At 42.4% G+C, this 24,601-nt stretch overlaps 1 pseudogene, besides 3 other annotated features; it reads left to right on the top strand.

The window, feature by feature from the left end:
- Nucleotides 2,551–2,720: an enhancer, noted in NCBI's record as "experimental_48472 CRE fragment used in MPRA reporter constructs". NCBI's record gives its function as "activates a minimal promoter by MPRAs in K562 erythroleukemia cells, with activity observed for the introgressed 18:59632261 variant allele {active_cell/tissue: K562}" and the evidence as "EXISTENCE:reporter gene assay evidence [ECO:0000049][PMID:34662402]".
- Nucleotides 8,916–9,085: an enhancer, noted in NCBI's record as "experimental_48468 CRE fragment used in MPRA reporter constructs". NCBI's record gives its function as "activates a minimal promoter by MPRAs in K562 erythroleukemia cells, with activity observed for the non-introgressed 18:59625896 variant allele {active_cell/tissue: K562}" and the evidence as "EXISTENCE:reporter gene assay evidence [ECO:0000049][PMID:34662402]".
- Nucleotides 10,066–10,569, top strand: RPIAP1 (ribose 5-phosphate isomerase A pseudogene 1; annotated as a pseudogene).
- Nucleotides 11,875–11,984: a silencer, noted in NCBI's record as "silent region_9501". NCBI's record gives its function as "represses an Ori minimal core promoter by ATAC-STARR-seq in GM12878 lymphoblastoid cells {active_cell/tissue: GM12878}" and the evidence as "EXISTENCE:reporter gene assay evidence [ECO:0000049][PMID:35858748]".

Below are 24,601 nucleotides of genomic sequence, written 5' to 3'. Positions count from 1 at the left end.
AGTGGGTCGGGGAGAAGGGCCGTCTCCTAACCGGCTCATGCCTATCTCACTACCTGTAACAGACACACACCAGTGATTTCTATACTTGATTATTGAAATCCTTTCCTGAAGTTCAGTTCTCCTTCTTAAAGACTGTCTTAGCCAATACCACATGATCTCACTTAATGTGGACTCTAAAAAAGTTGAAGTCATAGAAGTAGAGGGTAGAGTGGAGGTTACCAGGGCTAGGGTGACAGGCTGGGGAAGGTGACATGTTGTTCAAAGGGTACAAAGTTTCAGTTCCACAGGAGGCATAAGTTTTACCCAGCTTGGAGAGTACAGTTAACAGTGATGTATTGTTTATTTCGAAATTGCTAAAAGAGTAGATTTTAAATGTTCTCAATACAAAAAAATGGTAAATATGTAGGGTGAAAGATATGTTAATTAGTTACTTATCCCACAATATATACATACATCATAACATGCATATATACATGTTATGATGTATCATAACATCACTTTGTGCACCATGAATATATATGTCAATTAAAAACAAAATAAAAATTTAAAAATAGAAGACAGTCTTGGGATTCAGTGGATTTAAACTGATATTCTTTTATTAAAACATCTGGGCTAGGCTGGGCGTGGTGGCTCATGCCTGTAATCCCAGCACTTTGGGAGGCCGAGACAGGCAGATCACTTGAGGTCAGGAGTTCGAGACTAGCCTAGCCAACATGACAAAATCCCCTCTCTATTAAAAATATACAAATTAGCTGGGTGTGGTGGTGTGCACCTATAATCCCAGCTACTCGGGAAGCTGAGGCAGGAGAATTGCTTGAACCTGAGAGGCAGAGGTTGCAGTGAGCTGAGCTTGCACCACTGCACTTCAGCCGGGGTGACAGAGCAAGATTCTGTCTCAAAAAAAAAAAAAAAAAGAAAGAAAAAGAAAAGAAAAGAAAATATCTGGGCTAACAATACTTAGAGAAACCTAGGGGAAAAAATGTCCCAATACCTGCTTTAAGCTTTGGAGTAATGTTCTCCTGAGGGCGGCAGAAGCAACAGCATAGTTGAGCTTTCAACCAGCATTCTAAAGCCGGTTGAGGAAATGTCCTGTGAGTCCTCTACACAGAGTGACCACTTACAGAAAACCTCTCTCCTTTGTCTGTTTCCTATGCCTTCTGCTCCAGGTGGGTGTTCCTGCTCATGGTTCTTTCATGCCATCCCTTCTTTCCCAGACTCCTCTCCCTCCTTATCTTCTGACCCACAACCCTCTCTTCATTTCTCAGCCCTCCAGAAACCCCCTGGAGATAAGCTAAGAATAACATGTTTCTTCTAAAGGGAAGGATATACATTCAAGAAAGAAAAAGAGAAAATTTAGAGTGCGAGGGGGCAGAGACAGAAATTAAAAGAGGGGGCGTACAATAGCCCCAAAGTGGAAACAGCCCAAACTTCCAACAACAGATAAATGGATAAACAAAATGTGGCATATACATACAACAGAATATTACTCAGCCATGAAAAGGAATGAAGTGCTGATACATGTCATAATATAGACGAACCCCAAAATGTTATGCTAAGTGAAAGAAACCAGACACAGAATGCTACATATTTTATGATTCCATTTATAATAAATATCCAGAATAGATGTATCCATAAAGACAGAAGGCAAATTGGGGTTGCCAGGGATGGGGTGTGGAGGTTGGGGTAGGAGGAGATAGGATATGGGTATGGGCTTTACTTTGGAGTGTTAGAAATGTTTTGGAACTAGATAGAGATGGTGGTTGTACAGCATTGTAGAGGCATTAAATGTCATAAAATTGTTGGCTCTAAAATGGTGAATTTTATATTATATAAATTTCATCTCAGTAAAGTTAAAAAAATTTATGAAGGGGAGAAAGATGTGTCAAAACTTCCAATTCCACTTCTTTTAGATTTCATAACCTTCACATTGGCCTTTCTCCTAAATTGTGTCTCAGAGAAAGTTTCACATTTAATTTAGATACTAAGCCCCACGGATTGGTCCTGGGTTGACCTCCAAATCTTGTTAAGTATTGAATCAGTCTTCAGTAAAACAGCCCTAATAACAATGGGAAGAATAAAGTCATCCTGTGAGTCAGTGAGAGGACTGGGAATGGATCCCGAGGAGCATTACCTTGCAGTCTCTTCTAAATTCTGTTGATATCTCTCCATGTCCCTGAAACTCCTGACATAATGGAAAATGACTTGTCAAATGATGTCATCCACCCAACCAGGAGAAAAAGCTCAGAGGAGCCTCGAACATAGGTTACAGATTGCCACGTCCTCTGGAGGCTGTTGCATTCAGATTTGATCGTGCTGTTGGCAGAATTATGAAGCAACGTAAAATTTGTCTGGGCTGCTCTTAGCTCACTCTTTTCTGTATCCTTTGACCCTCTCTGGGACCCTGGCTTCTAGGCTCCAAGCACCTGGACAGAGCTTCTACCCCTCTACCTCTCCTTTTATTCTTCCATCTATACCAGTATTTAGAAAGGTGACATCATTTCTCCCTGAGAATGAATTTTACGTAAGCACCTCCTACTAACATTGTTGAAGATATGTCCACTTCGTCGTGAGCCCCAGATATTTTCACAGGGTTGCTGAGCATTGTCAGGACCCTCAGTCCATCTGGTGATCTGCCTGGTGTGTTCCAGGAAGGCACACTGGAGTAATTCACTATTGCAGATCACTGTCAAATATGAAGTCTAGGTACCAAAGAGAAGTAGTAGTAGTCAGGGTACCCTAGCTGGTAAACTGACTAAATAGATTGAATTGTAGAAAAATACAGATCTACAAAAGTGATTAAGGTTCTAGCTTTAACTTTGCCCAGAGGCAAATTGCTGGGTTTCTATGCCTAAAAAGGATCAAAGGACCAGTTGACTCAATGGTGCAATTTGCATTAGGTCCATTTAACTCAAAAAAACATTTTACCTTCAAGGAGTTTATGAGTCATTTCTATATTCTCTTTCCAACATCTATAATACCCTCCTGTAATATGCTCTCACATTATCCCTGCTTATTGAGATCACAAGAGGGGCCACCAGGTGATGGAGAGCTAAACTATAATTAGAAAAACGTATCTCTGTACTTGCAGGTAATACAGATTTAGCACCTCACTTGGCTGGCCAACCTCTTTTTGCGACTTCAAAATCATTCAATACTATCCATTTTCAAGGAAATGGGGAACACTTCCAAGTTGTTTGTTATTACCATGTACCTATCAGAGTCCCCACTTTCTAGGAACACAAGGTGTTATCAGTGTCAGATGATCCAATTCACAAGTGGTTGTTAACTGCTGGTCAGCTGAAGATGTCACTGATGCTCTGTCCATTCTTGGGCGCCTCTCAGGGACTTCAGCTTGCACTGCCCATTCAAGTACCAACCACGCACCATAGAATGAGAAGTTGGAGGGAAAATATTTAGGCCTACACTTTGCTCCTAATTTTCTCGTGTTTTAAATGCAAACTAATGGAATCTGCAAGAAATATCAGCAAAGTAAGTGTGCAAATATAGTTGCCAGAGGCCTTTTCAGGATCCTTATCCTTTCAATGAGACTTAGAACACGCCTCTGTCATTTCCTAACATTTTGGTTTGCTGGGTTTTTATTAACTACTTGACATCGATTTTTAGAAATCTTCTTTGGGGGTAGGGACTACATTTTTTCCACTTCTTATTTTCAATATTTATTTTTCCATTCTGAAGCTTAATCTCAGGGGGAAGTTCCTTGGTCAGTGTTTGGGAAAATTACTTTTGGGGCTGTTGCCAGACCTCTGGGTGACTTTGAAGTCCAGACAGCACCAAACTAAACATGGTCATAGCCCTTTTGCTGCTATTTGTGTAAGTGTCTGTTGCATTGGGTGCCTCTGGGCAGGCCCAGGGAAACTTTGGAAATTAGATTGATTCCAATGAATAAATTAACTCAACAATATTGCACAGATAAAATCAACCTGATTTTGATGACTCTGGAATGGATGAACATTTGTAAATATGCCTTTACATTTCCAAAATAACATGGGCTAAAGAGGTGACAGAAGTCATTACTTTTAAATCTTCTATCAACATCATTTTAGGAGATTTTAGGAGTCAAACTGAGGGATAATAGTTTGGAAAGTTTTGTGGAATTTTTTGTAAGGCTAAATATCCGATATTGCCAAGGGGTGTGGTGGGGCTGATACATGAGGATGACTTATTAGGGGAAGTTCAGCTCCTTTTCCAGGTGCCTAAGACATTACTTTGACAACCTGTTGAGGAAATTAACCCATGACATTGGTAACAGAGAAAAGATCGAATGCACCACCCTTTTTTCATCTGTTTAACCAGGCCCTCTATTTGTCTTATATTTGTTTCACCCATCTGCACTCTGTAATGTAGATTGGTACTGCTACTGTTCCTCACACTCCAAATCTTTGACACTGTTAAATCTTGAGAGGATAAAATAGCTCTTAGACTCCATGAAGGGCAATGACAGAATTGGTATGGTTACTACCGGGTATTCAGGGAAAGTCCATATGTATAAAGATTTCTCCATGTTTCTGAGCTGTGATCACCATGATTTTGTATTTAGTAATAGACCTAGTATAGTATTTATCTTTTGCTGCATAACAAATTGTCCCCAAACTTAACAGCTGCAAACAACAGCAACCATCCATTATGTCATAGTTTTTGAGAGTCAGGAGCGAGGTGGTTCTGGCTCACGGTCTCTTATATTGTTGGCCAGGGCTACAGGCATCTGAAGGCTTGAGTGAGGTTGGAAGAAGATCCACTTCTTTTTTTTTTTTTTCAAGATGGAGTCTTGCTCTGTTGCCCAGGCTGGAGTTCAGTGGTGTGAGCTCGGCTCACTGCTCAGCTCACTGCAACCTTCACCCCCAAGGTTCAAGCAGTTCTCTTGCCTCAGCCTCCCAAGTAGATGGGATTACAGGCGCTGGCCACAATGCCTAGCTAATTTTTGTATTTTTTTGTTTGTTTGTTTTGAGACGGTGTCTTGCTCTGTCGCCCAGGCTGGAGTGCAGTGGCTCTATCTAGGCTCACTGCAAGCTCTGCCTCCCGGGTTCACACCATTCTCCTGCCTCAGCCTCCTGAGTAGCTGGGACTACAGGTGCCCGCCACCACGCCCGGCTAATTTTTTGTATTTTTAGTAGAGATGGGGTTTCACCACGTTGGCCAGGCTGATCTCGAACTCTGGGCCTCAAGTGATCTGCCCGTCTCAGCCTACCAAAGTGCTGTGATTACAGGCATGAGCCACTGTGCCTGGCCTGTGGAAAACCCACTTCTAAGAAAGCTCACTCACAGGGTTGGTAAATTGATGCTGCTTTTTGGCAGAAAGCCTCACTTGCTCACCATGCAGAATTCTCCATGGGGTACTTGAGTGTCTTTGTGACATGGTAACTGGGTTCTCCCAGAGTGAGTGATGGAAGAGAAACAGAGGACACAATGTCTTTTATGAGCATGGATGCCACGGACCATCAATTCTGCACATCCTTTTGCTCCGCAGGCCAGCCCTATTCAATGTGGGAGAGGAGGACATGCCAGGAGAAAGAATCATTGAGTGCCGTCTTGGAGACTGCCTACCACACCTAGAATTACTCTGCCATGATACCTTGGACCAGGTGGAGTCTTGGGGAGCTAGGAAGGCATCTGTTTTTTGTGGCTTCTTTGTGGACTACAGTCTTGCCTGCTTCCTAGGCCTCTCCCTAGTGAGGTCTCCCTGGCTGGCTGTCTGCTTTGTTTCCAAGCCTTTAGAAATTTCTCCTATGGGTTGGGCATGGTGGCTGATGCCTGTAATCCCAGCACTGTGGGAGGCCAAGGTAGGTGGATCACCTGAGGTCAGGAGTTTGAGACCAGCCTGGCCAACATGGTGAAATCCAGTCTCTATTAAAACTACAAAAATTAGCTGGGCATGGTGGCACACACCAGTTATCCTAGCTACTCGGGAGGCTGAGGTGGGAGAATCGCTTGAACCCAGGAGGTGGAGGTTGCAGTGAGCTGAGATCATGCCACTGCACTCCAGCCTGGGTGACAGAGCGACACTCCATAGGAAAAAAAAAAAGAAAGAAAGAAAAGAAAAAAGAAATTTATCCTATGGCTGGACTTCAACCTTAAAGGTCCCCAGAATCAGCACATTGCAGAGATGGAAAGGTCAACAGTGGTCTGATTCCCTTCTTCTATTATAAGGAACTATCATTATTTACAAGGTCAATCTAAGATAGTTCTTAGACAGATCACCTGTAATAACCTATTACCTGTGGCTCAAAAGTGAGGGGTCTGGAAATTTCCCTTCGTGATTTGGGCTACTAAGATCCAGAGGGTTGAGAGTTGAAGAGTTACCCTTATACTCCTTCTGTCCTTATTTTAATACTGCGTACTCCCCTGTACACCTAGACCCTTGTCATTGTATGAATGAATGAACAGATAATTGATTTTCAATAAGGAGATGGGAAAATTGCTGAAGACCTTTGATGCCAGGAGTGTGGAGAAGGGGAAGCACTGAAGAGAGGTTTGTCCCAGTATATGCTCCTCCCACTAATTTGGCAGGGATGTGGGTTACGCCAGAGACTGGAGGAATAAGTGGACCAAACCTCTCTTACTCAAATCCTCCCTTCCTTGGGCTTCACTGTCAAATTTCCAAACCAACCATCTTTTCCAGAAAGGGTCCATAGACTGGGCATGGTGGCTCACACCTGTTATCCCAACACTTTGGGAGGCCGAGGCAGGAGGATGTCTTGAGCCCAGGAGTTTGAGACCAGCCTGGGCAACATAGGAAGACCCCATCTCTACAAAAAAAATAAAAAAATTAGCTGAGTCTGGTGATGTGCACCTATAGTCCTGGCTACTCGGGAGGCTGAGATGGGAGGATCACTTGAGCCAGAGAAGTCAAGGCTGCAGTGAGCCATAATTGCACCACTTCACTCTGGCCTGGGTGGCAAAGTAAGACTCTGTCTCAAATAAATAAAAGAAAAAGGGTCCATAGGATTCACTGCTCCTTAGTCCTCATGGCTGTCCACGTGTGCATAACTTCCGGCAAGGTCAACTGAACCGAAACAGAAGTCATTTCCTTAGGGGTGAAACAAATAAGGCATGAAAAACTAAAGGGTAAACAACTGTATTTTTTTGAGGGATGGGACTCTAGCAAAGTATCAGAATTAAGGCAGGCCTTTGAGGTTTTCTTTCCTTAAAATGATGCTTGATTGATCTCCTCAGTCTATACTTTGTGAACACAGTGTCCAATGCAGGCAGCCTTGCTCGCTTCATAGAAAAAAACCACAGCTCTTCTAATTGTGGCTCTAGCCTATGGAGTGATGATTCTCCCTATGTATGTTCTATCTGGGCCAATCCCAGAGAAGTTTAAGACACTGTTGTTCCAGGGGAAGAGCAATAAAATAGCTAGCATGGATGATTTATACCTGGAACTCATTAAATTTGTTTCCTCTTCTACATCTAAGCTAGCCAAGTATTTTTTGCCGTGGTTTGCTGGCATTTTCCCATCCATCTGGACACATGCCAGAGATAACCCCTCTCATAAAGAACTTTGGAACTATGACTTGAAATAGTGCAGACTTGCATCATGTTTAGCTGTTTGGCAAAGTGGCTTGAAAAATGTGAGTACTTGACGATTTCAAACTGTTGGCAATAATAGGATCTTCTGTTTCCAGGAACACTCTCAGGCTTTTAGGTCTTGTTGTTCTGCTTAAATTATACCAGGTACTAGCCATATTTCTAAGAGTATTTCCTAACATGGGGTCTAAGGATTGTTTGTGTGTGTGTGTGTGTGTGTGTGTGTGTGTGTGTGTGTGTGTATGAGACAGAGGAAGATACAGAGACAGAAAGAGACAGAAAGATGGAGAAAAAGAGACAAAAAGAGACAGAGAGGCAGAGATAGAGTCCTCACTCTTGACTGCAGCTCCTGAAGGAGTTCTTAGAAGCAACTGACACTATTGTCGGAGCATCAGAAATTGGAGTGGGAGAATTAGGTGAAGGCTGAATGAAATGTCAGAGAAGGTTGTAAGGACAGAAAGCAGTCATTCACATTAAGAGGTGAAGGAATATTGTCATAGAATAAAGGGAAGGAAAGATAATTTAAAGAAAAGAATAGAGGTCTTAGACAATCTGCTTGATGATCAAGAATTTCTGACACCAAGAAATAGAAGAATGTACACTTCTCAGAAAAGAGACCATTGGATTAGCATAGAAGGAACCTCCCAAGTTCTTCTGAAGGATGTGGCCCCTGCCCAGCCAATTGGAAGAGAACAACCAAAAAGTTTCTTTGTAGTAGAGGATGCACTGTGATCTCAAGAAACAACTCGTAGCTTCTCTCTAACTTAGGGGAACACAAGGAATCCCTGAGAAACCTAGAAGAGCTGATTAAGCTGAGTCACAGCAGGATACAGTGGCTCATGCCTGTAATCCCAGCACTTTGGGAGGCCGAGGCAGGAGGATTACTTCAGTGGGAGTGTTTGAGAGCAGCCTGGGCAACATAGGGAGACCCCATCTCTATAAAAACAAAACAAAAACAAATATTGATTATAATCATGTATGTGCATGGTAGTGCATGCCTGTGATCCCAGCTACTCAGGAGGCTGAGGTGGGAGGATTGCTGGAGCCCAGGAGGTCAAGGCTGCTTTGAGCCAGGATTGTGCCAATGCACTCTAGCCTGAGCAACAGAGAGATATCTCGTTTCAAAAAGAAAAAGAGAAAAGGAAAAAGTTGAGTCACATTTATGACGGGCTGGAGGAATGAACAAAGAAAAGCTAAGAAAAGGGAAAAGATCCAGGGATGTCTGATGGAACCATTCACGTAAGCCAATGGGTGCCGCCAGTGCTCATAAAGACAATACCTGCCTCATCTTAGATGAAAAAATATGGCGCATGAAGACATAAGTGTTTGTATGGTTACATAACTAGTACATGAGCATCATTCTTGTCTTCCCATAGGGTTTGGAGGACTTCATAGTGGTAAGCTTGTCACAAACAGATGAGAGTTAGTGAGCACCTCATGCATAATCCATCCAGCATCACAGGCCTCGTCCCCTGCCTGCTTCCCTCCGCAGCCTCGAGAAAAGTGAACAGCTCTCTCTCTGCTGCTCACACCAATTGGTGCTCCTGGGGTAGCAGATGACTAGACGATGGAAATATTTTATAGATCCTGTGATTTCAAGAGTAGAGAAAGTAGATTTTTGAAGAGGAGAAATCACTTAGAGGAAGTGACCAGGGCTGGTCGGCTTTTTATGGTGGTTCCTTTGCCCCCAAAACCTCTGCCCCTGGTGTTGGTTTATGAAAAATCACAACAGCAGGGATTGTTTGGGATAAGACGTGTCTTCTAGGGGCAGGATGTCGTGGGCTATTAGTCATTCATCATCAGCGTGGATCGGCTGGTGCAGACTGTTTCCTCTATGAGAGCTGATAGTGGTTGTACTGAGGCAACGGATGTTTGATTTGAAAGCAACTGAGGAGCAATTGGGTGATTGTGGAGCATGGAGCATTTTGAAGGGATGAGAAGGGGTGGGATGCTTCAGTGGGAGCTAGAGAGCAGCTCCCAACCGTGGAGACTAAGAATTGAGGGAGCAGGCCAAAAAGAACAGCCCGAGAAACTTCTTCAGGCCCTAATGTAATGGGACGACAGAAATCACAGAGCAGACACCAGAGTGAGTCATCAGGAGGCAGTGCCCTGGGCCCTTCAGCAACCTCTACAGGCGGCTGCTGGTGCTGCTCTGGGGTGGGCTGGGGGTGCATCCTCCAGCGGAGGTGGGAACAGCTGGAACCTCCAGGGCTCCCACGTGCAGCTCTCAGGGCATACACAGTCCAGGACCTGCTGCAATGCTGGCAGCACAAGCACCAGCTATGGGAACTCCAACAGCGTCTGCCTGGCCCCCTCCATGATGTCCAAGGCCAAGGAGGCTAAGAACTGGCGGGACACGGGGTGGTGGAGAACCACATGAGGAATAACCAAGTGCTGGGAACTGGAAGTGATTCTACAAGTGTCCATGCTGTGCAGCGAGTAGCTGAAAGGTGAAGCAGGAGATTCTGACCTGGTCTGCGTTCCCACTTCCCTCCAGGCCTGTCAGCTTCTTTCCCGTCATCAGGAAAGATTCAAAGAACCCTGGGGATCAGTGGCACAAGGGAATCCCAGTGGCCTTCGTCCCAGTGAGCTGAGCTATGAGCCAGAAGTTTACAGGTGTGGTTGAATTCCAAATGGCTGTCAACAAGGCAGGTCCAGTGGTGACAGATAATGGGAATTTTATCTTGGACTGGAAGTTTGACCAGGTACATAAATGGGGTGAAGTGAACAGAGCTGCCAGAATGGTCCCACGTGTGGTGGACACAGGCCTGTTCATCCACATGGCTGAGAGAGCCTACTTCAGGATGCAGGATGGCTCAGTGAACAGGAGGGAACAGCCTTTCTGTTGACCTTGCAAGCAGCAGAGTGTCTTCACCCTCGAACCACAGGTCACAGCCAAGGGGGATGTTTCTTTCCAGGGGCCTTTGCCTTCATGTGTCTGTGCCAGGGTGGACAACTGGCAGAAGGGAGAAGGCAGGGCAGTTAAATCCAGTCTTCTGAAGTATTGTTATTAAGTATCTTTTTTTTTTTGAGATAGGGTCTTGCTCTGTCACCCAGGCTGGAGTGCAGTGGCGTGATCTTGGCTCACTGCAGCCTCCGTTTCCTGGGTTCAAGCAATTCTCGTGCCTCAGCCTTCCAAATAGCTGGGATTACAGGTGCCCACCACCATTCCCAGCTAATTTTTGTATTTTTCGTAGAGACAGGGTTTTGCCATGTTGACCAGGCTGGTCTCGAGCTCCTGACCCGAAGTGATCTGCCCGCCTTGGCTTTCCGTAGTGCTGGGATTACAGGTGTGAGCCACTGTGCCCAGCCTGTTATTAAATATCTTTTAAAAGAGAGAAATATAAATATGTATTTTTACTATTAAAGTATTCAGGGTTTTTTAATAAAGATAAAAAAAGAGAAATCATAGTGAGGTCTGAGGATGGGTTTCCTGAGTTGTGCGCTTGGAATAGTAGTGGGAGTTAGGGTAAAAGAGTTCACTTTAGGAAATCAGAATTTAGTGTTTCTTTGCTGCAGGACTCCTCTGAGACTTTAATATGCTAATGAGCATCATGCATATCCAAAAAAGACTGCAATATAAAGTGTGTAACAAGTTTATTTTAGCAAACATTTGAAGGGCATCTCAGGGGATTAGTGGTCAACAGGATACATTTTCGACGAATAAATTCTTGTTTATTTGAAACGTCGACATCTAAAATCTTGGGCAGTATTTTCACCTCCGAACTTCAGGTGAAAAGGTGGTGTTAGTTGGGCCATCTGTTTTCTTTCTAATTCTGGAATCTATACCCATAAGAAATGCAAGCAGGTACCATCTGAATGAAGATTGATGGGGCAATGGAAGGAGGTAGGAAAGGCAGCAAAGGCAAAAGTCAGCATTATGAAATCCTCCCAATGCCAAGTGACTCTGAAAAACAGGAGGGGAATGCATTTCCTCCTGCACTCCTCATTCCACAGCTGTGGGACCCACAGCTCAGAGCACCCCATGCTGCAGTTACTAACTTTTCCTCTCCACTGACAATTCACAGACCTGCCCAGCATGTCTCTGTTAAGTCCTACAAGTTTTATCTCCTAAATGGCTCTTGTATTAGCCTGTTCTCACATTGCTATAAAGAAATACCTGAGACTGGTTAATTTATACAGAAAAGAGGTTTAATTGGCTCATGATTCTGCAGGCTGTACAGGAAGCATGATGCTGGCAACTGCTTGGCCTCTGAGGAGGCCTCAGGAAATTTACAGTCATGGCAGAAGGCAAAAGGGGAAGTGAGACGTTTCATATGGCCAGAGCAGGAGGAAAAATATGGGGGAGATACTACCTACTTTTAAGCAACCATATCTCATGAGAACTCACTCACTATCATGAGACTAGCACTAGGTAGATGGAGCTAAACCATCAGAAACCACACCCATGGTACATTCACCTCCCACCGGGCCCCACTTCCAACACTGAGGGTTACAACTGAGCATGAGATTTGGGTGGGGACATAGATCCAAACCGTATCAGCTCTCAAATAGAACTAGTATGTGATCTAGCAACACCACTGCTGGGTATATATCCAAACAAAAAGACATCCATATATTTAAGAAATATCTGCACCTCCCATGTCTGCTGCAGCACTATTCACAATAGCCAAGATATGGAATCAGCTTAAGTGTCCATCAGTGGATGAATGGATAAAGAAAGTGTGGTACATATACATAATGGAATACTATTCAGCCTTAAGAAGAATGAAATCCTGTCATTTGCAACAACATGGATGAAACTGGAGGACATTATATTAAGTGAAATAAGCGAGGCACAGAAAGACAAATACTGCATCTTCTCACTCATATGTGAGAGCTAAAAAAAGCTGAACTCATGGAGATAGAGAGCAGAATGCTGGTTACCAGAGGCTGGAAAGGGCAGTCTGGAGGAGGGGATAGCGAGAGGATGGTTAGTAGGTACAAAAATACAGTTAGATAGAAGGAATAAATCTAGTGTTTAGTTGCACAATAGGGCAACTGGAGTTAACAATAATTTATTATGTATTTTAAAGTAACTGAAAAAGTGGAATTGGAATGTTACTAACACAAAGAAGTGATAAATGCTTGAGGTGGTAGATACCCCACTTACCCACATTTGATCATTATACCTTGTATGCTTGTAGCAAAATATCACATGCACCCCATGAATATGTACAACTACTATGTATCCACAGTAATTAAAAATTTTTAAATATTTAGAAATAGCTCTTAAATCTGTCCCTTCCCTCCAACTCTAACAGTTCCCTAATCTCACACCTGATCTCCCAGCATAGGGCACCATGGGGCTCTCCCATGTCTGCTCCAGCCCCATCTAGCTCATCCTCCGTGCTGCAGTCCCAGCTTCAAACACAAATCAAATCAGGTCAGCACGCCCACCCACCTGCCTCTAGCTGAAAGTCCTCTCATTTTTTCTCGCAGCATGGAGAATCCTTTACTGAGGCTCGGAAGGCCCTGTGTGGCTGCCCCTCACACACCTCTCCTGCCTTTTCTCATCCACACTGTCCCTTGCTCCCTGAAACCCAGCCACATGGGCCCCCTTCCAGCAGATTCCCTGGTGCCATCTGCCACAGGACCTTGGCACATGTGGCCCTCTCTGCTTTTGCCACCCTCCCGCTTTCAGCTCAATCACATTTTCTTAGGGCATGCTTTTCTGGTCTCTCTGGCTGGTTCAGATCCTCCTGTAAGCCCTCATGGTACCATGCACCCCTCCTGTTGACTTCCTGCAGCTGCACTTTGTGTTGATGTCTGCGACTGTATGATTAGTGTCTGCCTTTTGCACTGGGAAGGCCAGTCATATGTTCCATGAGGACAGGCAGTCTTTGTCCATTGCTGCAACTCAACTGCTTAGCATGGTGCCTCATAAATAAGAGAACATCAATCTGATAATACTATTTTATTTCATGGCTTGAGTAATTGGTTGGACCTAAATCCCTTGACAGCAGAGGTTTCTGCCTGAGGTCCATGGAGTATGTATATACCCTTCTACAAAATGTATACAAATATTTGTGCAGTTATGTTTTTCTGAGGGAAAGTGTGCACAGAGGGCTCTATGAACTGCTCCTCTTCCTGCCAAAAAGTTAACCATGGTGGTCCTATAATTATTTGGATTTTCAAAAGAATTACCTCTTACCGAAATGGATCTTAAATAACCAACATGTGTCAGGCACAGGAGCCGTTAAGGCCAAGTTCTGACTGATTGGACGGTAAAAGTGCAATGAGACACTCTCAGTGTATTGCTTACCTAGAGAGAAAGGAAAGACCCACCAAAGTGCCAGTTCCCCACGGTCCTTTTCCCACATGTGACAGAGCAGGACACCAAGGCAGGAGGAACCATGACAGCAGCTTGAGTTGGGAGGAACCCTGTTGCCAAGAGCCCAGTCTTAGACGGCAGCTAAGCAGGTTCATCATCTGCAGTTTTTTTTTCTCAAGAGGGCAAGGAAGGAAACCTCATTCTTCTTCACAACCTGGGATATGATGGGAATTAACCTTCTAACAGCCTCCCAGAAGAGACAGGCAGGGAAGGGGAGAGGGCCTTCCAGGGAGGGCCGTAAGTAGCTCTGCAGGCTCAGAGGAGCTGCGACTCAAGTCTCCTCTGCCTGCAGGACTTATGTGGACATGTGCAGGGTGTCCCAGGTGCGAGGGGGAGCAGCTTCTTTACAACAGGTTAACAACAGAGCGTGAATATTTCTAGGCAGAGTGAGAGAGGATCATGTTGGCCCATCCAGTCATTCAGTGTGCAGGCAGAATATTTCTCACTGCTGCTTCTCTCCTGGTTTCAACTGCCGGAAACTCTTCCTGCTTTTCATTCCTCTAATTGCTTACAGTCTCCAAAACCTCAAATGCTTATTTATGTTTTTGTCCCCTAATGGTTCTCACAACAGCAGCAGTGGACCAGAGCTGTCTAGTTGTAAGAATAAGAATTTTCTGGATCCAGAGCCAGAATTGTTAGGGAGGACTGTGGTGATGCATTCTGCATTTCTTTCTCTTTCTTTCTTTCTTTCTTTCTTTCTTTCTTTCTTTCTTTCTTTCTTTCTTTCTTTCTTTCTTTCTTTCTCTCTCTCTCTTTCCTTCCTTCCTTCCTTCCCTCTTCCTTCCTTCCTTCCTTCCTTCCTTCCTTCCTTCCTTCCTTCCTTCCTTCCTTCCTTTCTTTTCTTTTTTTGAGGTGGAGTCTCACTCTGTCTCCCAGGCTGGAGTGCAGTGGCACGATCTTGGCTCACTGCAAGCTCCGCCTCCCAGGTTCAAGCAATTCTTCTGCCTCAGCCTCCCGAGTAGCTGGGATTACAGGCATCTGCTACCACGCCCGGTTAATTTTTGTATTTTTAGTAGAGATGGGGTTTTGTTATGTTGGCCAGGCTGATCTCGAATGCCTGACCTCGGGTGATCCACCCGCCTCAGCCTCCCAAAGTGCTGGGATTACAGGCATGAGCCACCTAGCTCAGCCACATTCCGCATTTCTAACAATTGCTTGAAAAGGCACTGTTTATGAGTGGAGAATTGTTTGTATTTAAGAGACAGCCTCAGGTAGTGGAAAGCCCAGTTTTGCTGCTGAGAATGTGTGGTGGTGATGATTCATGGATCCGTGGGTAAAAATGCTGTCTGCTCCCTGTCTCTGGTGAGCTGACTGTAACAAGGCCTCCAGTGAGGCTTGCGGAGACTCGCTTAAGCTCCCCGGAGGAGGTGAGGGAAAATCCCAGAAGATGCAAATTGAGTTCTCTTACAGTGAAAGGACATAGCCCCTGGTGATAAGCAGCCCACACTCTGGTTTTAATAAGCTTGAGGTTTGGTACTTCTTAGTAATGAGCAGAATTTAAAGGAAATGAAACCAACTCAGAAGTTTTAGCTCATTTGTTGTATAGCAGAAAGCACCAATTAGTGATTGGAATAGCGGTAGGTAATGTCTTGCAACGAAGTGACAAGGTAGAAAAAGGATTTGGGATTTCTCCAGCCTACTTTATGGCTGATAGAATTTTGGTCTCTCTCTCACAAAATAATGTGTAGGCCCTTATCTAATTAGGAAACAAGGTGATTGGCTGTCTAAGGCAATGTCATGCCTGAGTAGCATTGGTAAGATCCTCCTTAGTCCAGGAACTGTAGCATGTTTAAGGCCATTGTAATGTTAGCATCAACAACCCTGGAAGGGTTTTTTTTTTTTTAATTCACCCCAAGAGAATGTTTTCAGTGGAACTCAGCGACATCCTGAAGTTGAAATAAATGTCCATGTGTCTCCAAGCAAATGCCCCATGTCTCTTACATTTAACCATACAGAAGAAACAGTAAGCAGCATGAATCCTTTCATTTTCCTGGGTAATAGGTAAGTGGCAAAAAGAATTGGCTTTTGACATTGAAGGAGGCCCTAAAACTCTGACCTACTGAATGTGTTGCTGACAGCAGTGTAACTACATTGGGGTAGTGCCGGAGATGGGGCCAATCACCATGGAAAACCCTGAACCAACTAGCTGGGCATGGTGGTGAGCTCCTGTAATCCCAGCTACTCTGGAGGCTGAGGCAGGAGAATCGCTTGAACCCGGGAGGTGGAGGCTTCAGTAAGCCAAGATCGCGCCACTGCACTCTAGCCTGGGAGACAGAGCTAGACTCTGTTTCCAAAAAAGGAAATGCAGAATGCGTCACCACAGTCCTCCCTAACAATTCCAGCCCTGGATCCAGAAAATTTTTATTCTTACAACTAGACAGCTCTGGTCCACTGCTGCTGTTATGAGAACCATTAGGGGACAAAAAGAAATAAGCGTTTGAGGTTTTAGGGACTGTAAGCAATTAGAGGAATGAAAAGCAGGAAGAGTTTCCAACAGTTGAAACCCTGAAGCATTCCAGGGTTTTCTCTCCAGGAACCTCAAGGGCCACATGAAGGAACACTGGACTTTCTGTAGGATCACTGCTCCTTTGGCATCCACGGAGTCACAGTGAAGGACATTCCCAACAATGTTTTGGGTGGCTGATGGGAAGACAGTGGTCATGGAACCAAAGGATTTGGAAAAACTTACAAACGAAGACACAAACTGGAAACGTAATCCTTGAGTTCTTAAAGGCTTTCTCAGACATGACCTTGATTTGTACTTTTTTGCCTCTGAAATGGGAGTATAATTCTGCTCTTTCAAAGGTACCATAAGGGCTGATGAATTAAACAACATAAATTATTTTTGCAAATATAAAACTCTAATACAAATAAAGAAATCATAGTACATATAGACCCTTCATAGCCTATAAAAAGAATTAATGTGGATGCAGAAAGCTATTCTATTTAAATGGTTAAAAAATGAGTAGCAGTTCCTTTCTGTTTGGATTTTAATTGAAGCCTAGGGATTTATGTGAGGAAACACCTGACTGAGCATGGACAAGGACAATTATTTGGAGAGAAAAATATGGTTTTGAAATTCACACCCAGTGCCAGGGCTCTGAAGGTGCATGCCAGGTTTCAGGGAACATTGTCTGGTCTCAGGGGAGTACACATGCAGAAATTTACTTTGCTTCTAATTTATATAGTATGAGACAAAACTAAAACATGGGTGACCGTTTCCCTGAGATCTCAGGAATGTTATAAGGGATGTTGTTAATAGAAGGAAACAAATGGAAAAAATTCCTCTGCTCCCATTTAAAAATGTCACCACACTGAAGAGGAAACCCGTAATAGTGCTTATCTCTCAATACAGTTTTGCATCTGAGCTTGGCCAAAGATGTCTCCACGTTTCTCCCTGTTTTGCTTAAGCATCCCAATTCCAATGCCTAATAAACCGATAGCATCCTAGTATTGTTAGACACACCCAGAGTGAAACCTAATAACTGAAAGCCCATATCAAATCAGAGAGCTGCCCTCACGGGTGAGAGAGACAGGGAGAAGGACAGGCTTTGGGGCTGCCCAGGGATGAGCTAGGAGAGCCGAGGTCAGACTCCCGTCATGATTTGGCTCAAGGGTTTTGCATTCCAGTTTCAATTCAGGTTCCAGCACGTATAGTGACTCATAAACAGGGCACAAACGAGCATGGATGTTGTGATTAACCAAGAAAAAGGAATGGAACAAAGCAGACAGCAAAGTGGGTGGGAAACGTTCCCGGGGTTGCTGCGGAGTCAGAAGCAGGGAGTGACTGCAGGTCAGACTGCATCAGGCTGGGGACGTGTATTTCCGAAGGGGAATGGTGAGGGGGACAGAGGTGGTCGGGAGATGCCAGAACACATCCGTCTCATCTTGATGGCAATCTCACTGCAGTATTTTGGTCAAAAGGAGGGAAAAACACAGACTGGATGAGCTGGGTGAGCACAGAGAGAAGTGGGCACCCTGGCTGTGTCCCAGAATTTCCATACGGGGGAACCATGGGCCAGATGAGCAGTGGGACCACCACCGCTCATGAGGGACAACAAGCAGCCCTGGGCAGTATTGGGCCTATTCAGGCACGGGGGGAGTGAGGGTAGGGCAGGGAATGGGGATCTGCCACTTGCCTTTAATGAGTGGTCTTAGAAGTCCCAACTTTAGGGCTAATTTTTAGAATCAAGATGTAACTTATATACAGTCAAGCTTGAGGAATGTTTGCATATGCATATACCCATGTAAACAACTATATCTATTACCCCAGACTCCTTCATCCCCCTTCCCAATCAAGACCATCATTCAGAGGCAACCACTTCCTGATTTCTATCATCACAGATTCATTTTACCTGTCCTTAGGCTTCATCTCCATGGAATCGTAACAATGTATACTCATTGTGTCTGCCCTTTTCACTCAACAAGATTTATTGGAGATGTGCCCTTGTTTTTGGATGCATCGGTGGGTAGCAATGTGAAGGGCACACTTTTTCCTTCCTTGGGTGCTACTTTCTCTTTCACTGAGTTTGATGTTAAGTGTTAAGAAGCTAGATGTCATACTATGTAAATTCTAAACCAAAAGAGAAGTCCCACATAAAAAATATCTGACAGCATGCTACCAGGGACATCACAATCCCGTGTCCTGCTGTAGCAACTCAGCAGACATGTTTTTGTTGCGTGGTTTTTACTGTGTGTGCTTCTCTGCCTTCCACTGCGGGGTAAACCCTTCCCCCAGGCTTGTGAAGGTGGCCTTTTGTTTTCAAAGAGCCACAGAACTGCTACTGGCTAAATCACAGGGTGTTTAAGGCTGTGATTGAAATTTAGGAGCCAGCACTCAATGTCACCTTTGATGATCTAAAATTGCACACAAGGTAAACCGGATCTCCCCATAATAGATGGCACACAGAAGCTCATTTTTAGATTGTGTTCTCACAGGGTCTTGCTGCAGTTGACTGATGTTATTAAACTTTAAGGACCCCTCTGGGAAGGAGGTTTGCTCTGAATAGCAGTGTTCTCAGGGAGATTGTGACCTGGTGACCTCACCCAATTGAATCTCTTTCATTTTATAGAAAATCTGAAGCTCCTCATTATGAAGCTGACCAAGAATAGCAGTGCAGCTTTTTCCTTTTCTGCTTTAGCACATTCCAGGGGATCAGAGGCTGAGCTTCCTGAATATAACCGGGACATGAGCTTATGGAAATGGAATGAGACCAAGGATGTACAGAGTGAAATTCACACATGCTGCACAATGAGCAATGCCGCGTCCCTAACTAAGCAAGTGGCACCAAGGGTCCCTTTACCTTTGGTAACTGTAACAGAAACAGATCTCCTTTTTATAGTTCTGTCTCTGCAGAACAGCAGCCCTGAAAAGCTAATTGGTCCTCAGCCATGGTGACAGTGTCTATGCGCTCCCTTGACAGTGAACACTCAGGCCTGTGGCTTTGAAGCCCCTGGGGAGGGAGAAAGAGGGCAGCCAGGGTGGTCCCTTTTCATGGCAGGAAATTGCCAGATAGGCTTGTGTGAAAAATGTCCCAAAAGAGTGAGTAACCCTCCCCTATGCGAGTGTCTGATTAATACTGAAGGGTGGTGATTTTCTGCACAGAAAGCAACAGACAAAAGCATTTAGAAAGAAGAAATGAAGAAAAGTTAATTTACAAAGACGTGAAGGGAGTCAGATTTCAAAAGGACTGATCCTCCTTAGAAAGAACCAAATACAGGAAGAAAACCATAGCCTTACAAGTTGGTCAAATTTATATTACTTCGTTCTTGGTGGAATACAATAACTTTTTCACACGATCATCATACTCACACGTGTTGGCATTGTGAAAGTCAGGGATAAAGCCATTTTTTGTTTGTTTGTTTGTTTTTGGTTTAGAGAGTCAGGCAGGGTTGTTGGAATTGTTCAAGTTTTTATTATCTGGGGGAACAGACATCAACAGAGCGACCCTATTATTTTTGGTTTATCTCAGAGTGCAAACTCTTTCCCCTTTTTTCCTAACTGTACTATGTCATATTCTTAATCACAGTGAAGCAGAGCAAAGGATCAGTTTTGCCTAGGGAGATCCCTCTTTTGTTCAAGTTCCCCGTCCCTAAGGTGCAGTTTGGTCACATAAGATGCCTAGTGATTTTCCGACTCAGTATCATTAATTTGATATTTTGCTTTATTTGATGATTTTTATTTTCATAGGAGCAATGAGTGTTACACATTACACAAGGACCCCCCCTTTTTTTTTAGTTTTAATAAAGCTAGAGCAACATGATATTAACACTTAAAAGTTAGTGCTGGAGGCCTTGTTAAACCCCTAAGGGTATAATTTACCTTTATATTTCAGAAGTATTTTGTTTTCCTTCTCAGTTGGTCCACTGAGATCAGGAACCAAGAACCATCCAATTCACATCTACCAGCCTTTGCCCAGCCTTTGCCCAAAGTGCCTCTAACTTTTAAAAGTATTAGAGTCTCATCTTTCCCTGATATCTTTTTGTTGTCAATATTCCCTGCCTGCCTTTGAGGCAGGGGTCCCATAAGTCACAGAGCAGACTGTAGATCAATTTCATGGGAGGACCTCGAGGGCCTTACTCCCCACATGTGGAGGCATAGTCCCTGGGCTTGTCTTACCTAATTAGATGAGGTTTCTGGCATGATCGTGGTTATAGATTTGATTTATCCAATTATACCCTGGCTGGAAAAGGAACATATTCTTGTTGAACTTATGCAAATAATTTACAGTTACAGAGAGTAGAGGAATTTAGTGAAGGCACTTTGCATAATATTTAATCGTTATTAGTGTTCCATCTCATTATTTTTTATAAAATCATTATTCCTATATTAATTTATAGTCTATGTTATTAAGACTTTTTTTCCCTGAATTCCAAGGGCTCAGTTGGAACAAGATACCATTTAAAGAAGATTTCACACCAATTTGAACAAGCATAATCTGTCAAATTGAGGGTCAGTGCTAGATTAAGAAGAAAAGGGGTTTCTTGCCATGCCCATTTAAAATAGAATCCTGACTGCAATTAAATCACTGCATTTCATTCACCTCGTCCTAGGGAATTCATTTGTATTTTGTTGATCTTAGACTAAACAGTCTGTTTCCATGAAGTCATTTGCTTCGGGAGGGGAAAAGTTCCAGGATCCTGATTCAGTCTCTTGGTACAGTCTTGCAGTCTGGGGTGAAGAAGTTGGCTCACAATGAGAAGCCTGTACCTATGAGTCTATTCCCTGTAGGTTCAACTGTCTGAGGATCTGGTTCAGTCCTTTACTTAGGCTCCTTTGATATTTCTTTCGGCATCAATTTCTGATTTGTTTTTGTATTTCAGTAAGTGGGGGGGAAAAGCAGAAAATACTTCTGAATGATAAGATTCAAAGGCTTTGCTCAATTTATTAAAATAATCCTAATATCAGAATGTAAAGAAAAATTCTCTCTTGAGATGCAATAAGCAATCAATTTGTTAGGAGTTTGCTGATGCTTGTTCTGAGGTTAAGAACACATAAACAGTGAGGACATTGTGAAATCTTCAGGGTCTCTAATTTATCCCTATGTATTCTGATTGTCATCAATTGACAAGAGTGTTTATGTAGAAAACCAAGATATCTCTTTTTGAAATTAATCTATTTATTTGCAGTTACCATGCCAACCTTTGAACATTAACATGTGTTTTTGATACAAAATTTCATAAGTACTGAAATATTTATATTAATTACATTTAACTTATATGTAATTAATACAGAGACGTTTAGCTTCTATTTTTAATTGCCGGTTTTTCATATTGTGGACATAAGAGTGTTGAATATTTTAAAACTAGAGAATGCCAGATTATTTCAATTACCTGTTTTTTTACTCTCCATATTATCTGTTTTCTTACAAGGCAAGAGATAAAATCTTTGTCACGGCCAATGGACAACTAAAAAACTCTGAAGATACTTTAGGTATAACAGATATCTTGATAGGATTGGTATTCAACTTTGGTCCTGAATTTGGGAAAGTTAATATCAAAAAGAGTTGTCAGAGGTAACATGAGCATTAGTCACAGAGGCATGAAGACAAGAAATAGTTTTAGGTAATATTTTAAATAAACACAGCAATAGGTAAAAATGATTATTAAGAATGGTAGCATTTCAAAACTGAAGATCTATTAAAATGGATTCAAAAGTATAACAAAAAACAATGAGTTACAGAGTATTTTAGTAATAAAGGGAACCACTGATACCTGGACATGTTAAACTATTTAACACTTATCTTTTTCATTCTTTCAATTTTTCATTTTAACAGAAGGAAACCCAAATTCTAATTTTATGCTTTCTGATTACCATAGATATCGTGATCTGCAGTAAATGATACATAAGCCCTTTGCACCCTATGGACAAACGAATTATCACTGGGCCAATTTTGAAAAAATGTTGACTTATTTCTTGGCCTCTTTCAAACTCACTATATTCAGGCTAGTAAGTTTACATTTTGTTCCTTTCTGCACTTGTGGTATACCCCCTCAGATTGTCTTCTATCATTGTCTTGTTTTGGCACAAGCAGACAATTTTATTTAAAACAAAACAAACACGCACACAGTGCAATACATCTTTAACAAATCTTAAAGGGACAAGTTTATACATGCATTTTAACCTGCTAACTGATGACAAGAGTACAGTAAAACTAGTGTTTTTAGGAATACAAGATAGGTACTAAGTTTGATTTTCTATTAGTTTGAAGTTTTAAAGTTAATGATTCTGAAAATACAATTTGAACCAATGTATTGAGGAGAAACAAAGGTCTGTCAGACAGCCATTTAGTGAGAGAAATTATTTCTTTAAAAAATATGGAGGTAGAGGCTGGCTGTAGTGGCTAATGCCTGTAATCCCAGTCCTTTGGGAAGCTGAGTCAGGTGGATGGCTTGAGTTCGGGAGTTTGAGACCAGCCTGGGCAACATAGTGAAACCTTGTCTCTACAGAAAAATTAGCCAGGTGTGGCAGCACGTGCTTGTAGTCCCAGCTACTGGAGAGCTGAAGTGGGAGAATCGCTTGAACTTGGGAGGTGGAGGCTGCTGTGAGCTGAGATCATGAGTGAGACCACTGCACTCCAACCTGCATGATAGAGTGAGACCCTGCCTCAAAAAAGAAACCAAACCAAACCAAAACCAAAACCAAAACAATAAAACAAATGGACATGGGACAACTGGTATCCACATGTAAAAGAATTAAGTTGGACTCTTACCTCACACCATATGCAAAAATGAACTCAAAATTGATCAACAACCTAAATACAAAAGCTAAACTGTAAAACTCTTAAAAGAAAACTTAGGAATAAACATTTAGGATTCTGAATTTAGTAATGGATTCTTAGATATGACACCAAAAGCACAGCAACAAAAGAAAAAAACACATTGCACTTCACCAAAATTGAAAACTTTTGAATGTCAAAAGACATCATCAAGAAAGTGAAAAGATAACCTGTAGAATGGGAGAAAATATTTGCAATCGTATATCTGTTATGGGCCTAGTGTCCAGAATAAAGAACTTTTACAACTCAACAGCAAAAAGACAAAAAACCCAATTTTAAAATGGGCAAAGAACTTGAAATAGACTTCTCCAAATATATGCAAATGGCCAAAATACACATGAAAAGATGCTCAACAACATTGGTTATTAGCAAAGTGCAAATCAAAACCACAATGAGATATGACCTTACAGTCACTACAATAGCTAAGTAAAAGAAAAAAAACATAAAATAATAAATATTGGCCAGGATGCAGAGAAATTGGAATCCTTGCACAGTGCTGGTGAGAATGTAAAATGGTGCAGCCATTGTGGAAAACAATTTTGTGGTTTCTGAAAAAGTTAAACATAAAATTACTATATGATCCAGCAATTCTACTCCTGGGTATATACTCAAAAGAATTGAACAGAAGTACTCAAACAAATACTTGTACATGAATGTTCATAGCAGCACTATTCACAATAGCCAAAAGGTAGAAACCACCCGAATGTTTATCAAAGGATGAATGAATAAACAAAATGTGGTCTAGCCAGATGTGGTGGCATAAGCCAATAATTCCAGCTATTCAGGAGGCTGAGGAGGAGGATTGCATGAGGTCAGGAATTTGAGACCAGCCTGGGCAACACAGTGAGAACCTGCTTCATAAAATTAAGAAAAATTAAAAAAGAAAAAGAAAAAGGAAACAAAAACAAAATGTGGTATATACATACAATGCAATATTATTCAGTCATAAAAAAGAATGAAATACTGAAATACACTACAGCATGGATGAACCTCAAAAACATTATGTTAAGTAAAGGAAGCCAGACACAAAAGGCCACATATTGTATGATTCCATTTATCAGAAATACCCAGAACGGAAAAGTCCATAGAGACAGAAGACTGGTGGTTGCCAGTGGCTGGGGGTAGGGAGGATTAGGGAGTGGCTGTTTAATGTATACGAGGTTTTCTGGGGGTGATGAAAACCACATCTAGTTTTGAAACTAGATATAGAGGTGGAAGTTGTACAACATTGTGAATGTACTAAATGCTATTGAATTATATACTTTAAAATGATTATTCTTATGTGAATTTCAATTAAAAAGCAGGGATTTTCTATGTTTCTATGTATATATACAAATATATATATGATATTTAGAATTATAAATTTTAATAAGAATAAACCCTTTTGAACATAAGTTAATATAAATTATTTAGTTGGACAAATAATTTTACATTTTTGTAATAA

The sequence above is a fragment of the Homo sapiens genome, chromosome 18, assembly GCF_000001405.40.
Source record: "Homo sapiens chromosome 18, GRCh38.p14 Primary Assembly".
NCBI lineage: Eukaryota > Metazoa > Chordata > Mammalia > Primates > Hominidae > Homo > Homo sapiens.
This window is presented reverse-complemented; position numbering and strand designations above follow the sequence as displayed.